The 16,368-nt window shown below is 40.4% G+C and overlaps 1 protein-coding gene across 2 annotated transcripts in view; it reads left to right on the top strand.

Annotated features, from left to right (window-relative positions):
* IL36B (interleukin 36 beta) overlaps positions 4,178-16,368 on the top strand; it is a 30,779-nt gene continuing 18,588 nt past the window's right edge. For both annotated transcript variants that reach the window (NM_014438.5, NM_173178.3), the window contains exon 1: positions 4,178-4,228. The gene's annotated coding sequence lies outside the window, so the exon portion shown is untranslated. The remainder of the gene's footprint in view (positions 4,229-16,368) is intronic.

Here is a 16,368-nt window from a genome sequence, read left to right as displayed (position 1 = left end):
CTCACTTATGAAAAATAGTAAATCTTTGACACATGCTCACTATATGTGTGTATGAGAGTCAAGTTTTGAACTTCTGAAAAATAAACTTTGGCACTACCTAAAGACAATGCTGCCAATTCGCAAACCATGTGTGGCTGTTTTAAAATATGTCCATAAATTCTTGGAAACTTCATCTTTAAGAAGGTGATATGGTTTGGCTCTGTTCCCACCCAAATTTCATCTTGAATTGTAGCTTCTATAATTCCCACGTGTCATGGAAGGAACCCAGTGGGAGGTAATTGAATCATGGGGGCAGGTCTTTCTTGTGCTGGTCTCATGATAGTGAATAAGTCTCACAAGATCTGATGGTTTTATACAGGGGAATTTCCCCACACAAGCTCTCCTGCCTGCCACTATGTAAGACATGACTTTGCTCTTCTTTCATCATCTTCCACCATGATTGTGAGGCCTCCCCAGCCATGTGGAACTCTAAGTCAATTCAACCTCTTTCCTTTATAAATTACACAGTCTTGGTTATGTTGTTATTAGCAGCATGAGAACAGACTGATATAGTAAATTGATACTGGGAGTGGGGCGCTATGTTACATGATGAACATGGCAGCATCATAAAAGGCATTGCAATTTCCTCCTAGCTCTTAGATCACTCACCTGGACAAAGCCAGCCACTATGTGATAAGGACACTCAAGCAGCCCTATGGAGAGGCCCACGTGGTGAGAAACTATTTTTTCCTGCCAACAGTCTGTGAATGCACAATCTTAGAAGCAGATCCTCTAGCCCCAGTCAAGCCTTCAGATGACTGCAACCCTGGCTGACATCTTTCCTGTAACCTAATGAGACACCCTGAGCCAAACCCTCCAGCCAAGCCAGTTTTCTCATTCCTGACTCTCAGCCTTTGTTAAATAATAATTTTTTCTTGTTTTAAGCTGCTAACTTTGCTGATACTTTGTTACACAACAATTGGTAACTAACACACCTTGACATCACTATTGGCATTTCAGCACTTTAACACTTTGCCTGTTACCCAGCAATTTGGAACTGGGTAAAAGGCAGAGGTTGGAACAGTTTGGAGGGCTCAGAAGAAGATAGGAGGATGTGGGAAAGTTTGCAACTTCCTGGAGACTCACTGAATAGCTTTGACCAAAATGCTGATAGTGATATGGACAATAAGGTCCAGGCTGAGGTGGTCTCAGATGGAGATGAGGAACTTGTTGGGAACTGAAGCAAAGGTGACTCTTGTTATGCTTTAGCAAAGAGACTGGCAGCATTTTGCCCCTGACCTAGAAATCTGTGGAACTTTGAACTTGAAAGAGATGATTTAGGGCATCTGGCAAAAGAAATTTCTAAGCAGCAAAGTATTCAAGAGGTGATTTGGGTGCTGATAACATTCAGTTTTATGTATTCACAAATATATGGTTTGGAATTGGAACCTACATTTAAAAGGGAAGCAGAGCATAAAAGTTTGGAAAACATGCAGCATGAAGATGAGATAAGAAAAACCTATTTTCTGAAGAGAAATTCGAGCTGGCTGCAGAAATTTGCATAAGGAAAGAGGAGCCAAATGTTTTTCACCAAGAAAATGGGGAAAGTGTCTCCAGGGCATATCAGAGGTCTTCACAGAAGCCCCTCCCATCACAGACCTGGAGGTCCAGGAGGAAAAAATGGTTTCATGGGCCAGACCCAGGGCCTGGCAGCTTTGTGTAGTCTCAGGACTTGGGATGACTTGCATCCCAGCCACTCCAGCTTTGGCTAAAGAGGGCAAAGGTACAGCTTGGGTCATGGCTTTAGAGGGTGTAAATCCCAACCCTTGGCAGCTTCCATGTGGTGTTGAGCCTGTGGGTGCACAAAAGTGAAGAACTGAGGTTTGGGAGCCTCCGCCTAGATTTCATAGGATGTTTGGAAATGTCTAAATGTCCAAGCAGAGGTGTGCTGCATGGGCATAGCCCTCATGGAGAACCTCTGCTAGGGCAGTGCAGAAGGGAAATGTGGGGTGGGAGCCCCCACACAATGTCCCCACTGGGGCATTGTCTAGTGGAACTGTGAGAAGAGGGCCACTGTCCTCCAGATCCCAGAATGGTAGATCCACCAACAGCTTATGCTGTGTGCCTGGAAAAGCCACAGACAGTGTCAGCCCATGAAAGCAGCCAGGAGGAGGGTTGTACCCTGCAAAGTCACAGGAGTGGAGCTTCCAAAGACTATGGGAACCCACCTCTTGCATAAGCATGACCTGGATGTGAGACAGAGACTCAAAGGAGGTAATTTTGAAGCGTTAAGATTTGACTGCCCCGCTGGATTTTGAACTTGCATGGGGCCTGTAGCCCCTTTGTTTTGGCCAATTTCTCCCATTTGGAATAGCTGTACTTACCAAATGCCTGTACTCCTATTGTATTTAGGAAGTAACTAACTTGCTTTTGATTTTACAGCTCATAGGCAGAAGAGACTTGCCTTGTCTCAGATGAGACTTTGGACTGTGGAATTTTGAGTTAATGCTGAAATGCGTTAAGACCCTGGGGGACTGTTGGGAAGGCATGATTGGTTTTGAAATGTGAGGACATGTGATTTGCGAGGAGCCAGGGGTGGAATGATATAGTTTGGCTGTGTCCCCACCCAAAGCTCATCTTGAGTTGTTGCTCCCATAATTCCCATATGTCATGGAAGGGACCCAGTGGGAGGTAACTGAATCATCAGGGCAGGTCTTTCCTGTGCTATTCTCATTCTAGTGAATAAGTCTCATGAGACCTGATGGTTTTATAAAGGGGCATTCCCCTACACAAGCTCTCTTCCCTCCTGCCATGTAAGATGTGACTTTGCTCTTCCTTCATCTTCCATCATGATTGTGATGCCACCTCAGCCATGTGGAACTGTGAGTCAATTCAATCTCTTTCCTTTACAAATTACTCAGTCTCAGGTATGTCTTTATTAGCAGTGTGAGAACAGACTGATACAGAGAGGAAGTTTAACTGCCCTTCTCTTGAGTATGGACTGGACTTAGTGACTTTTTTCTAATGAGTATGTTACATGGTGAACATGGCAGCATGTCACTTCTGAGACCAGGTCATAAAAGGCATTGCAGTTTCCTCCTTGCTCTTAGAACACTCACCTGGATGAAGCCAGCTGCCATCTAATAAGGATATTCAAGCACCCCTATATAGAAGCCCACATGGTGAGAAACTGTGGTTTCCTGCCAATGGTCTGAGTGAGCAATCTTACAAACAGATCCTTCAGTCCCAGTCAAGCCTTCAGATGACTGAAACCTTGGCTGACATCTTTCCTACAACCTAATCAGACACCCTGAGCCGAACCCTCCAGCCAAGCCAGTTTTCTTATTCCCGACTCTGTCTTTGTTAAATAATTTTTTTGTTTGTTTTAGGTCGCTAGGTTTGCTGTTACACAGCAATTAGTAACTAATACAGTTTGACATCACTATTGGGAAGTTTCTACTCCTGTTGTTTTTTCATTTTCCACTGTCTTCGGTGGGTATGCTCTCTTCTCAGCAAACATCTCAGTTCTTCATGGGCTTTATATGCCCTGGAAAGTGTCACAGCCTGCAGAGAAGCAATGTTCCCTGTGGTGACTTATCCTCACCTTTGTGAGAATGGCAATAACCCTGGAGGTAGATGTGGCCTCTGCTCTTGCTGTAGAGATGACTTAGGGCAGGTGTATTCACCTATATGAGAATGTAAGCAGAGTTTATTATGGTAAGATAGTAAATTCCTGTTAGGGAGATAAATTTAGTAATAATTAAAGTAACTGATATTCACTTGGTGCCCACTATGTCCCTAGAATTCTATAGCACTTCCCACAATGTGTTCCATGAGACTCCAATAGAGAGATAATGAGCAGCAAGTATTCCCGGCGGCTTAGGGTGGTGTGAAATCACGCTGAGAATCCTGCTTCTCCTCAGGTCCTGGTAGTTTCAGGGCCCCTCCCTAGGCCTTACTTAAAAGGCTGAGGCATCCTTGGAAGAGCAGGCAGACTCCACGGATCCCACCAGGAGAAAGGAGCATTCTGAGGTATGCTCTAGGGCACTGGTGGGACTGGAGCTCTCTCCTCATTTCAGACCCAGAATCTCCTGCTCTGTGGAAGCTGTTCTCATGCTGGGGGACTCAGTGTGGCTGCTTGACTGGATGAGACAGAGGATGTGAAGAGCCAGGTTGGCATCTAGCACAAACCCACAGACACGGGTTCCTCCCCACTCTGTCTTTCTCACCTCTCCTTCACTTTTCCTAGGTATGTAAAGAAGACATTAAGAACACGGCAAAGGCCAAATTTACATTGACTTAAATCTAAGACTGGTTCATGACCAAAAATGCATGTAGCTAGCATGGCTTTCCCAACGCAGAGAGAAAAAGGCATGGACTCAGCTCCAACAGACTGGCGTAATGAGTGCAGAATATGCTGTGAGGTTTTAAATTTGCTGACAAGAAAGGTTAACGTTTGTTACACATTCACTCTGTCAGGTACAGTGATAAAAGCAATATAGCTATTATGTTGCCTCATTCCCACATCAGTCCTCTAAGGTAAGTGCTATGCTTATTCCCATTTAACTGATAAGACAAAACGAAAATTAGAGAGGCTAAGTCACCTAAGGTCACAAAACTAGTAAGAGATGGACCTGGTATTGGTACTCTTGCAGCTTGACTTCATACTAATTCACACCCATTCCCCAATATGAAAAATAAGCTGTGTAATGCTTATAAATTCACACATTTGGAATAGAAGGCAGAGCTCGAGGCTGGGGGAATGAAGGAGTCTGCACAAAGGACCAACAGGCTTTCTAAGAAGATAATAGAAACCAGCCAGGTGCAGTGGCTCGCACCTGTAATCCCAGTACCTTGGGAGGTAGAGGCGGGCAGAACACTTGAGGCCAGGAGTTCAAGACCAGCCTGGCAAACATGAAGAAACCCCGTCTCTACTAAAAATACAAAAACTAGTTGGGCATAGTGGTGCACACCTGTAATCCCAGCTACTTGGGAGGCTGAGGCACGAGAATCACTTGAATCCCAGGAGGTGAAAGTTGCAGTGACCTGAGATCATGTCACTGCACTTCATCCTGGGCAACAGAGCAAGACTCTGTCTCAAAAAAAAAAAAAAGGAGAGAGGGAGAGAAGATAATAGAAACCAACAGAGTTGGTGCAGAGACAAAGGAGTGCCCCATAGCAGAGTGTGGCACACTTTGGGTTGGACGGAATTTATCACTCCCTGGAGTGACTTTTGGTAGCTGAGGACATCCGTGAAAGTCCTTCCTGGAGTAGGAGTGATGGTGTGCATGCACAGACACAGCCTCCAGGGAGCCGTGAGCAGAAGGGGACCTCCAGCTGCATCCAGGACTCCCTCTCCAACCCAGCCACATCAGAGGGGAAGGGTACCACTTGGCTCATAGCGCTTTCGAGAAACCCTGGATGCCAGTGAAGTCATGGGGAGGCTGTGGGCCAGGATCCACAGGGCTGCAGCTGGGTGCTGAGCCAGAGGCCAGTGGCTTTGTTGCCTGCCCTCAGCCCCGTGGCACCCTCTGCCTGGGAGGCTGGGGAAGGGCCAGGTGCACAGGCCGGGATCTGAGAGAGCGCGTGGGCAGTCCACAGGGCAGGTGAGGCTCTGAGAGAGAGTGTGGGCAGTCCACAGGGCAGGTGAGGCTCCGGTGTGTGTCACACCCACAGTTTCTGCTGACTGAGTCCCATGAACAGGGCCAGAGCCACCGGCAACTTCTGTACCCCAGATCCACATTCAGGCGCTTTCCTCGTCTGTGCCTCAGAGGCTTCCAGAGCCTGCGGACTCGCCTCCGCCGGACTGTGTAGTTTGACCATTGCTCTCCAGCAGGAAACTGGAAATAAACCCAGGGCTAGGCACTGGCTGAGCTCCATTCTCCCCGGTCCTGCGCTGGCCCCTCCGGCGGGGCCTGCCGCTCTCAGTGTGCCGGGCCAGGATCTACCGGCAGGGGGCGCTCTCCACCAGGCTAGGTCGGGAGGCCACGATGAGAGGCACGGCCTCCGATTCAAGGATCGGGAGGCCACGCTGAGAGGCACGGCCTCCGATTCAAGGATCAGGAGGCCAGGCTGAGAGGCACGGCCTCCGATTCAAGGATCGGGAGGCCACGCTGAGAGGCACGGCCTCCAATTCAAGCTCTCTTCCTCTTTTTCTGTCTCTTTCCACAAGGATCTGCAGCCCTCACCCGAGTAGCGAGCATCTAAAGCAGGACTAGACGAGGCAAGGGAGCTGCACCAGGGCTACCCCTGAGAAAGCCCCAGCTCTCCTCGGCTTTCTCAGTGATGTGTGGCTTTCGTGGGCTCCTCAAAAACAGAAACTATCTTTTTTTATTATTATTATCTGTCCCTTTTTGCTGTTTTTGATAACTTATTTATTCGATAGATGTCTGCACATTTGCCTCTTTTGATATATCTTTAAATTGTTATTATTAAATGTGGTAAGATATACATAATATAAAAATTACCATTTTAACCATTTTTAAGTGTACAGTTCAGTGGCATTAAGGACATTCACATTGTTGGGCAACCATCACCACCATCCATCTCCAGAACTCTTCTCGTTTTGCAGAACAGAAATTTTGTACCTACAAAACAATAACTCCTCACTCCCCTCTCCCCAGCGGCCCCTGGCAACCACCATTTTACTTTCCATCTCTATGAATTTGACTGCTTTAGGCGCCTCATATACGTGGAATTACACGGTATTTTTTTTTTTTTGTTATTAGTTTATTTCACTTAACTGAGTTTACTTTCAAGATTCATCCATGTTGTAGCATGTATCAGAACTTCATTCCTTTTAAGGCTGTGTGGTGTGTGTACCACATTTTCTTTATTCGTTCATCTGTCGATGGACACTTGGGTTGCCATCACCTTTTGGGTATTGTGAATAATGCTGCTATGAACATGGGTGTTCAAATAGCTTTTCAAGTCTCTGCTTTCAATTCTTTGTGAATATACCCAGAGGTGGAACTCCTGGATCATATGGATAATTCTATGTTTAAGTTTTTGAGGAACAACCATACCGTTTTCCACAGTGGTTGCACCATTTTACATTCCCACCAACAGTGCACAAGGGTTCCAGTTTCTCCACATTCTTTTTTTTTTTTTTAGACGGAGTTTCACTCTTGTCGCCCAGGCTGGAGTGAAGTGGCGTGATCTCAGCTCACTTCAACCTCTGCCTCTCAGGTTCAAGTGATTCTCCTGCCTCAGCTTCCTGAGTAGCTGGGATTACAGGTGCACGCCACCATGCCTGGCTAACTTTTGTATTTTTAGTAGAGACAGGGTTTCACCATGGTGACCAAGCTGGTCTCAAACTCCTGACCTCAGGTGGTCCGCCCACCTCGGCCTCCGAAAGTGCTGGGATTACAGGCATAAGCCATCACGCCCCACCCAATTCCTCCACATTCTCATCAACACTTGTTATTTTCTATTTTTTTCTAATAGCAACCATCTTAATGGGTGTGAAATAGCAGTATATCATTGTGGTTTTGATTTACGCTTTCCTAATTATTAGGGATGTTGAGCACCCTTTCATGTGCTTATTGGCTATTAGTATATATTATTTGGAGAAATGTCTACTCAAGTCATTTGACCATTTTTTAACTGGGCTATTTGCTTTTTTGTTGTTGAGTTACAGGAGTTCTATATATATTCTAGATGTCAACCCCTTATATGACTTTCACCTATTTCCTCCCATTCCCTGAGTTACCTTAACATACTATTAATAGTGTCATTTGAGGTACAGAAGTTTTAAATTTTGATGTAGTCCAATGTATCCATTTTTTCTTTTGTTGCTTTTGTTGCCTATTTTTTGGTGCTATATGCAAGAAATCATTGCCAAATCCAATGTGATAAAGCTTTCCCCTATGTTTTCTTCTAAGGGCTTTAACTTTCATTTAGGTCTTTGATTCATTTTGAGTTGATGTTTTTATGTGGTATAAGATAAGGGTCTAATTTCATTCTTTTGCATGTGCACCATCACCACTTGCTCCACCATCACCATCATCACCCACCAACACAACTGCCATCATCAGTATCATTATTGTGTGATGCTTCCTCTTCATCATCATTAAGAAGAACAATAGCTAGCATATTTTAAATTATTAAACATTTTTAAAATAAATTCAATTGCTTTCATAGAAATGGGATTACTCAGGTTACTTACTTCTTCTGTGGGTTTTAGTAGTTTGGCTTTCCAAATGTTGGTCCATTTTATCTAAGATGTTAAATTTATGGGCATAAATTTGTTTGTAGTATCCTCTTATTACCCTTCTAAAGTATGTGTAATCAGTAGTGATGTCCCTCTTCTATTCATGAAACTGGTAATTAGTCTCCTCTCATTTTTCTTGATTTTTTAATAATCAGATTTTAGCTTCATTAATATTCTCTACTGCTTTCTGCAATCAATTCTATTGATTTTTGCTCCGATCTTATAAATTTCTTTCCCACTCCTTGCTTTGAGCTTGTTTTACTCCTTTTTCTAGTACCTTCAGGTGGAATCTCAAATTATTAATTTGACGTCTTTCTTCTTTTCTAAACATTTATGCTATTTTTCCAAGCATGATTTAGTTGTATCCCACAAATTTAGCTATAATTTTGGGGGTGTTTTTTGTTTTTTGTTTGAGGCAGAGTCTCACTCTGTCACTCAGGCTGGAGAGCAGTGGCGAGATCTCAGTCCACTGCAATCTTCGCCTCCCGGGTTCAAGCAATTCTCCTGCCTCAGCCACCTGAGTAGCTGGGATTACAGGTGCATGCCACCATGCCTGGCTAACTGTTGTATTTTTTACAATTTAATACAATTACAATTGTATTTTAGTAGAGACAGGGTTTCACCATGTTGGCCAGGCTGAACTCTTGATCTCAAGTGATTCAAGTGATTAGTATTTGCATGATACATCTTTCTCCACCTTCTTACCTTTAAACTGTCTACAGTTTTATATTTCAAGAGGGTTTCTTACAGACGCTATATATTTAGATCTTGCATTTTTATCCAATCTGACGATCTCAGTCTTTTACCTGGCGTGTTTTTATCACTTACATTTAATTTGAGTATTAATATGGTTGGATTAATATCTACCATCTTGCTGTTTTCTATGTGTTCCATCTGTTTTATATTTATTTTTCTTCTTCTGTCTTCTCCTGAGTTAACATTTTTTATTATTCCATTTTATCTCTTTTATTGACTTATTAATTATACCATTATATATTTATATTGGTTAGTCCAGGGCTTCCAATACATATTCTTAATTAAAGTCTACCTTTAATTTTTTTATACCACTTTAAGTCTACCACAAGGACCTTACAACAATATATTTCCAATTCTTTCTTTCTACACTTTGCATTATCATTGTCATTATCCACAAGGCTGGGGATAAAAACATTTCAAAGGTCACAATACCTGTTCCCACTGTCTGGCCTGGAAAACCTTATCATTCCCAAGGCATTGGTTACAGTATTCAGAAGGATCTTGCTTAAGTAATGGAAAATAACTAGACCTAAACTAAATGCTTCTCAGGTTCAACCTATCAAATCCTAAAATCAAGTCCCAAATGGATCAAATTCTTGCCAAGAGCCTTAATTACACTACGGAATTAAGCTCAAGAATATTCATAGTACAAGTTGAGCCTCCCTAGTCTCAAAATTCAAAATCTGAAATCTTTCAAAATCCAAAACTTTTTGAGCACCAACATGACACTCAAAAGTCATGCTCGTAAGAAATGCTAATTGAAGCATTTCTAATTTTGAATTTTTGGATCAGGGATACTCAACCTGTAATACAAAAGTACCCAACACCCTTGGCAAAATGGCTGAATTTGGGACGGGCACAGAAAATACACAAGAGCAGCCTAAGCATGTTGTTGTAACAAAAAGTAAGGAAATACTTAAAAAAATCCACAGTGATTGGTATGTCAAAGGAACACAGGAGCTAAATAAAAGTGCTTCCAATGGCCAAAGCTGGAACAACTTAAGTAGCAAAATAAATAAAGTAGCACTGGATTATAATTTAAAACATAAAACAAATATCAGTGAGCACCAGCTGACTAAATAAATAAATAAGACAGACTAATCTCCCATGCAAAATAATTCCAAATTATTTATTTAGCTATCCAACTCTCAAGAAATTACAACATAACCTTCAGGCTCTAAGTGTGGGCTACACATAGTAACTTCTCTGTAATGAATATAGTATGGAAATGGGGGTGAAAGAGTAACTTTACAGTGGAGAAACCTAATGAACACTATCTCAGCCAGGTAAGATTAACATCAGCAGTAATAAGTTATGTTGACAGTATGTACCTTAGATATGATATATAATAAAAATAGCATTTTATCTCTGTGATCTCCCTCCCCCAAACCCATAACCCTAGTCTAATCATAAGAAAAACATCAGACAAATCCGAATCTATTTACTGTACTCCTCAAAACCGTCATTAACAACAAACAAAGCCTATGAAATTTTTATAGCAAAGAGGAGTCTAAGGAGACATGGTGACTAAAAGTCTTATCTTTGATGGAATGGTGGAACAAAAAAAGGATATTAGATAAAAACTGAAGAGGGCAGGCGCGGTGGCTCACGCCTGTAATCCCAACACTTTGGGGGCCGAGGTGGGCGGATCACGAGGTCAGGAGATCGAGACCATACTGGCTAACATGGTGAAACACCGTCTCTACTAAAAATACAAAAAATTAGCTGAGCGTGGTGGCGGGAGTCTGTAGTCCCAGCTACTCAGGAGGTTGAAGCAGGAGAATGGCATGAACCCGGGAGGTGGAGCTTGCAGTAAGCCGAGATGGTGCCACTGCACTCCAGCCTGGGTGACAGAGCCAGACTCCGTCTCAAAAAAAAAAAAAAAAAAAGAAAAAACCTGAAGAAACCAGAATATAAACTTTATATAATAATAATGTATCAATATTGGTGTATTCATTGTAACATGTATGCAAAACAAATGTAAAATGTTAATACACAATCTTTGCACTTTTTCTGTAAATTTGAAAGCTTTCCAAAGTAAGAATGCATTATTATGTATTAAAAAAGTACTTAGCAGCTAACACAGTAAAATTACAGTGTCTGACATCCAACGCTTACAAGAAAGGCAAAGAAACAGGAAATTCAGACACAGTATGAGGAGAAAAATTAATCAAAGCCAACCCAGAACTGATACAGATGTTAAAATGAACAAATACACATTAAAATGTTATGTCTAAATTCTGTATATTTAATAATTTAAGTAGAGACATGAAAGAGCTTAAAACAGACTCAAGTCAAACTCCAAGATGTAAAAACTGCCATGTCTGGAATGAAATATACACTACATGAAATTAGCATACAGAAGAAATTATTAGTGAATTTGAGGACATCGAAATAGAAATGTTCCAAAATAAATTATGAAGTGAAAAATAAAAATAAAAGGACATACGACACATACAAGAACAGAGAATCAGTGATATATGGGACTAATTCAAGGGGCCTAATATATGGAATTTTTAAAGGAAAAGAGGATGGTGGGAACAAAGATTTTTTTCAAATGTTAGCCAAATATTTTCTAAATTTCATGAAAACCATAAACACAGGTTCAAGAAGATTGATGACCCCGTGCACATGAAATATGAAGAAAACTACAGCAGCAAAATCATAAACAAATTGCTCAAAACCAGTGATACTGAGAAAATCTTAAAAGTAGCTGGAGGAAAAAGGACACAATGCATACAAATACATAAAAAGAAGGATGACGGCAGATTTTTTGTCAGAATCAATACAAGTGAGAAAGCAGTAGAGCAACATATTTGAACTACTGAAAAAAACATTGTCAATTATGCTTTTGCGGTTATAACCAGCAAAAAATCTTTCAAAATTAAGATGAAATAAATGTCTTTTCAGACACACACAGAAAGAAAATAATACTGTATGGAAATAAGAATTTTAATACAGAAAATAAGCTCCAGAAATGATAACTATATTTATACATATGTGAGATTTTTAACTTAATATTTAAATCCCTTTAAAAGATAATTATTTAAAAAACAATAACAAGGTATCATTAGGATTATAACATATATATAAGTAAAACGAATGACAAAAATAGGATATGGTTTAGGAGGGGAGAAATGAAAGTATATTATTTTACTATGGGAGACTGTGACAAATTAAAGATGGATACTGTAATTCTAAATCAACTACTCAAACAACAAAATAATTAGTAATCACTAGTAAGTTAACAGAGGAGATAAAATTGAATCAGAAAATGTTCAAGTAATCCAAAAGGACTCAGGAAAAAATGGAACAAAGAACTGATGACAAATATAGAAAACAAATAACACGATGGTAGACTTGAACCTAACCACAGCAATAGCAACATTAAATATAAATAGCCTAAACACTCCAATTAAAAGATTGTCAGATTGAATTAAAAAGCAAAACTTTACTAGATGCTACCAACAAGAAGTGCACTTTAAAGGTAAAGACACAATTATGCTAAAAGGAACATGATGGAAAATGATATACCATGTTAACACCAATAAAAAGCAAGTTGGAGTGGCTATATTAATATTAGACAAAGTGAGCCTGGGCAACATAGTGAGACCTTGTCTTTACAAAAAATAAAAAAAATAGCTGAACATGGTGGCACATGCCTGTAGTCCCAGCTACTCCAGAAGCTGAGGTGGTAGGATCACTTGAGCTCAGGAGTTCACAGCTACAGTGAACTAATGATCATGCCACTGTACTCCAGCCTGGGCAACAGAGCAATGTTTCTAAATTCACACACACACACACACACACACACACACACACACACACACACACACATATAGATATAGATATATCAAAGTAAATTGCAGAATAAAGAATATTGCCAAGGATAAGAAGTTTATTTCACAATGATTAACAGTACACTGACACACTGAAAATTTTAAAATATTGCTAAAAGAAAGTTTTTGAAAGGCCCAAAAAGCCAGAACGATATGCCTTCCTCAAGGGTCAGAGGATTCAATATTATTAAAAAGTGAATTTTCCCCAACTTGACCTGTAGATCCAATACAATCCCAGTCAAAATCCTAGCAGGCTTTTATTAAAGAAATTGACATGCTGATTATTACATGTGGCATTGGCAAAAAGATAGACAAATAGGTCAATGAAAAAGGATAGAGTCCAGAAATAGACTTACACATATATGAACAACTGATTTTCAACAAACATACAAATACAACCAGTGTGGCTGGGTGCAGTGGCTCACACCTGTAATTCCAGCACTTTGGGAGACCTAGGTGGGCGGATCACCTGAGGTCAGGAGTCCAAGACAAGCCTGGCCAACATGGTGAAACCCCTTCTCTACTAAAAATACAAAAGTTAGCTGGGTGTGGTGGTGCATGCCTGTAATCCCAGCTACTTGGAAGATAGAGAATTGCTTGAACCTGGGGAGCGGAGGTTGCAGAGAGCTGAGATCGTGCCATGCACTCCAGCCTGGGCGACAGAGCAAGACTCTGTCTTAAAAACAACAACAACAAATACAATCAGTGGAGAAAAAAATACCATGTTCAACAAATGGTGACAAATCAATGAGATATTCATATAATGACAACAAAAAGGTGAATTATGATCCATTTCTTGCAGCATATGGAAAAATAATTCAAAATTGATCATAAATCAAAATGGAAAACATAATCTACAATGCTTCATAATTAAACATAGAAGAAACCTTTTTCATTCTATTAAGCAAAGATTTCTTAGATACAGTGAGAAATTATGGTACGTATGATTTTTTAAATTGCTAAATTTGACTTTATTAAAAACAAAAATTTCTTTTTGAAAGATTCTATTCAGAGAATGAAAAGAGAAGTCACTGACTGGGAAAAATACTTGTAATGTATATATCTGAGAAAGGACTTGTATCCACAGTATATAAAGAACTCTCAAAACTTAATAAAAAGGAAACAAAAAAGACAATTTTTAAAATGGGCAAAAACTTAGAACAGATATTTGTATCAAATAATATATACAGATGACCAAAACAAAAAGCCTACAAAAAGATGTTCAATATAATTAGTCATTGGGAAACTGCAAATAAAATAGCAATGAGCTATTAGTATTGCTTACCTATTACTATTGCTAAAATTAAAAAGACTAGCTATACCAAGTCTTGGTGAGAATATTAGAGAACCAGATCTCTCACATAATAGTGATGAAAATGTAAAATGAAAAAAAAAGGTAGTTTCTGTTAAAGTTAACATATACCAACCCTATGATCCAGCCATTCCACTTCTAGGTATTAATTTAAGAGAAAAGAAAGCATATGTCCATACTAAGACTTGTACATCAATGTTCATAGTAGCTCTATTTGTAATAGCCAAAAAGTGGAAGAAACCAAATTTCTATTAAAAACTGAATGGAGGACAATTAAAAGGAATGACTATTGGAACAACTTGAATGGATCTCAAGGAAAGTACACTGAGTGAAGGAAGCCAGACAAAATCAATTATATACTGGGGGATCCCCTTTATATAAAATTACAAAACAAATGAAAACAAACCTATAGTGACAGAAAGCAGATCTGTAGATTCCTGGTGAATAGGACGGGGGATGGGAGGGAAGGACAGATTCCAGGAGACATGAAGACTCTTTGGGGGATGGTGAATATGTTCATGATTTTAATTTTGATGATGGTTTCACAAACATAGACATATGTCAAAACTTATCAAATTGTATATTTTGCGCCGTTTATTGTGTGCTAATTATTCCTCAATAAAGTTAAATTTTTTTCAAACCCTGAGTGCAGGATTAAGGGATATAGCTAGCTTAGGCATTCTAGGAATGACCTATTATGTGTCCCTGAATAGTGAGAAGCTCGGAAAGGCAAGACGACTCCTGCCCTAATAGAGGTTCCATTCTGGATACGACAACATAGGGTGACAGGTGAATGAACAGGTGCCTCAGATACAGCCCTTAAAACACTTCAGGTGCTGAAACCCATGGCTGGTGTCAGAGGCACCTCCTAGTGGTTGTCCTTATGAGGTGAAGTCCTGCTCTCTTTCCCCTGATGTTCCATATCAGATGTCCTTTGTCACTACTGTCAGCTCCCTGGAAAAAGCCTCCCAGCATCCTTGAGGGTAATGCCACCCCCTTTCCAGGCACTGAGACCTCGTCACCATCATCCCAGAAAGCCAGCCCATTTTAAAAATTAGATTGTTAACTCGGGAGGCTGAGGCAGGAGGATCTCTTGAGCCCAGGAGTTCAAGGCTGCCTTGCACTGTGATTGCACCTGTGAATAGCCACTGCACTCCAGCCTAGGCAACATAGGTGAGACCCTGTCTCTAAAAAAATTAGATTGCTTAACTTTTTATTTGTCAATTATACCAGTTCTTTATATATGTTGAATATCAGTTGTTGATCAGATATATGTCTGTGACTTGCTACTTGTTTCCTTAACAGTGTCATTTGATGAGCCTAATAAGTAAGTTTTTATTTTAACAATGTCTAGTTTAATCTTTATTTCTTTCATGGTTATTTCTTTCTGAGATCTGCCTAAGAAACCTTTGCTCACCCTCAAGTTTAAGAAATATTAGCCTTTTTTCTCTAAAAGCGCTAAGGTTTTAGCTTTCATGTTTAGGTCTGTAATTCACCTCGATTAAATTTTCAGTATTATGTGTGAGGTAGGGTTTGAGATTCATATTTTCTCATGGATATCTAATTGTTCTGGCACTGTTTGTTTAAAAGGTATCTCTTTCTCCCACTGGATCACTTTGGCATATAGGCTTTCTATTCGATTTGATTGTTTTATTTATCACTCCTCATGCTGCTAGTAAGACATTGTCTTGATTTTTGTCATTTTGTGGTACAGATAGTGATTTCTTGGATCATCTTTCTCCAAGCTTGTTTGGCATTTTCTTTCCTTTCTTCTTCCTTTTTTTTTGTGTGTGGCAAAGTCTTGCTCTGTCACCCAGGGCTGGAGTGCAGTGGCTCAATCTCGGCTGACTGCAGTCTCAACCTCCGCAGACTGAAGTCATCCTTCTGCCTCAGCCTCCCAAGTAGCTGGGACCACAGGCGCAAGCCACCATGCCCCACTAATCTTTGTGTTTTTTTAGAGACAGGGTGTTGCTAAGTTGCCCAAGCTGGTCACAAACTCCTGAGCTCAAGCCATCCTCCCACCTTGGCCTTCCAAAGTGCTGGAATTACAGGCGTGAGCCACTATGACTGGCCAGCTTGGCAATTTCAACCAAAAAAAAAGCCTAGTGCTATTATGGTAGAGATGTCATGGAATCCATAGACTGACATCTTAAAAATATTCAGTCTTTTAATTCATAAACATGGTATATACCTTCAATTATTTAGGTATTCTTTAATCTCTCTCAGTAACACTTTGTAGTTTTTGGTGCACAGGTCTTTTATATACTTTG

This window comes from Homo sapiens, chromosome 2, assembly GCF_000001405.40.
Source record: "Homo sapiens chromosome 2, GRCh38.p14 Primary Assembly".
Lineage (NCBI taxonomy): Eukaryota > Metazoa > Chordata > Mammalia > Primates > Hominidae > Homo > Homo sapiens.
Note: the sequence above shows the minus strand (reverse complement) of the source record. Positions and strands in the feature narration are given on the sequence as shown.